Here is a 2,365-nt window from a genome sequence, read left to right on the forward strand (position 1 = left end):
CGAGTGAATGAGTGACAAAACCACACTTCTCCCATAGATCTTTGCAACCCTCAGGTCAGGTGATCTCCTTGTGAACCCACTCCACCAGGGCATTCAGTCTTCAGTCTGACAGACAGAGCTACGTGGAGTCATGGCAGAGCAGCTGCTTGTACATGTATGGAGACCCTGGAGCCTTAGATACTTGGGCTTTCTGGCAAAAGTAGCTGCAGCTCTGGCAAAGTGGAAGGTTGAGTTCCTTCACATACTCCTAGAAAAGAGGCTGAATCCAGGGGGGCTGAGCAGCAACAGCCCACAGGCCCCATGTCCATGGCACCTCACAAGGTAAGACCCATTGGCCTGGAATTCCAGCCAGCTACATAGTATTGGAAGACCTAGCCAGAGAAATCAGGCATGAGAAATAAATCAAGTGCATCCAAATAGGAAAAGAGGAAGTCAAACTATCTCTGTTTGCAGACAACAGGAGTCTATATTTAGAAAACCCCACGGTCTTGGCCCAAACACTCCTTCAGCTGATAAACAACTTCAGCAAAGTTTCAGTATATAAAATTAATGTACAAAAACCACTAGCATTCTCATACACCAGCAATAACCAAACTAAGAGCCAAATCAGAAAGGCAACCCCATTCAAAATTGCCACACACAAAAAATAAAATACCTAGGAATACAGCTAACCAGGGAGTTGAAAGACCTCTACAATGAGAATTACAAAATACTGCTCAAAAAAATCAGAGAAGACACAAACAAATGGAAAAACATCCCATGCTCATGGATAGGAAGAATCAATATCATTAAAATGGCTATAATGCCCAAAGCAATTTACAGATTCAATGCTATTCCTATCAAACTACCAATAACATTCTTCACAGAACTAGAAAAAATTATTTAAAAATTTATATAGGACCAAAAAAGAGCCTGAATAGTCAAGGCAATCCTAAGCAAAAAGAACAAAGCTAGAGGAATCACATTACCCAACTTCAAACTATACTACAAGGCTACAATGACGAAACAGTATGGTATTGGTACAAAAACAGACATATAGACCAATGAAACAGAATAGTGAGCCTAAAAATAAGGACACACATCTATGACCATCTGACCTTTGACAAAGCTGACAAAAACAAGCAATGGGGAAAAGACTCCCTATTTAATAAATGGTGCTGGGATAACTGGCTAGCCGTATGCATAAGATTGAAGCAGGACCCCTTCCTTATACCATATAGAAAAATCAACTCAAGATGGACGAAAGACTTAGATATAAAACCCAAAACTAGAAACACCTGGAAGGCAACCTAGGCAATACCATCCTGGACATAGGAATGGGCAAAGATTTCATAATGAAGACCCCAAAAGTAACTGCAACGAAAGCAAAAATTGATAAATGGGATCTAATTAAACTTTAGAGCTTCTGTACAGCAAAAGAAACTATCAACAGAGTAAACAGACAACCTACAGAATGGGAGAAAATATTTGCAAACTATGCATCTGACAAAGGTCTAATATCTAGCATCTATAAGGAACTTAAATGTACAACAGAAAAACAAACAACCCCATTAAAAAGTGGGCAAAGGACATGAACAGACACTTTTCAAAAGAACACATACAAGTGGCCAATAAGCATATGAAAAAAGCTCAATATCACTGATCATTAGAGAAGTGAAAATCAAAACCACAGTAAGATATCATCTCACACCAGTCAGAATGACTATTATTAAAAAGTGAAAAAGTAACATATGCTGATGAGGTTGCACAGAAAAGGTAACCCTCATACACTGTTGGTGGGAGTGTGAATGAGTTCAACCATTGTGGAAAGCAGTACAACAATTTCTCAAAAGAGCCAAAAGCAGAACTACCATTCAACCCAGCAATTCCATTACTGAGTATATACCCAGAAGAAGATAAAGCATTCTACCATAAAGACACATGCATGTGAATGTTCATTGCAGCACTGTTCACAATAGTGAAAACGTGGAAGCAACCTAAATTACCATCAGTGATAGACTGAATAAAGAAAATGTACATATACACCATGGAATATTATGCAGCCATAAAAAATGTGATCATGTCTTGTGCCAGAACATGGATGGACCTGGAGGTCATTATCTTTAGCAAACTAAGGCAGGAACAGAAAACCAAATACCACATGTTCTCACTTATAAATGGGAGCTAAATGATAAGAATTTATGAACACAAGGAAGGAAACAGCAGACACTGGGGTCTACTTGAAGGTGGAGGGTGGGAGGAAGGAGAGGAGCAGAAAAGATCACTATTGGGTACTGGGCTTATTACCTGGGTGATGTAATAATATGTACAACAAACCCCTGTGACATGTGTTTATCTACGTAACAAACCTTCACATGTACCCCCA

General features: G+C 39.3%; 1 annotated feature.

Annotated features, from left to right (window-relative positions):
* Positions 1,643–1,822: a silencer, noted in NCBI's record as "silent region_4277". NCBI's record gives its function as "represses an Ori minimal core promoter by ATAC-STARR-seq in GM12878 lymphoblastoid cells {active_cell/tissue: GM12878}" and the evidence as "EXISTENCE:reporter gene assay evidence [ECO:0000049][PMID:35858748]".

The sequence above is a fragment of the Homo sapiens genome, chromosome 12 (genome assembly GCF_000001405.40).
Source record: "Homo sapiens chromosome 12, GRCh38.p14 Primary Assembly".
Classification (NCBI taxonomy): domain Eukaryota; kingdom Metazoa; phylum Chordata; class Mammalia; order Primates; family Hominidae; genus Homo; species Homo sapiens.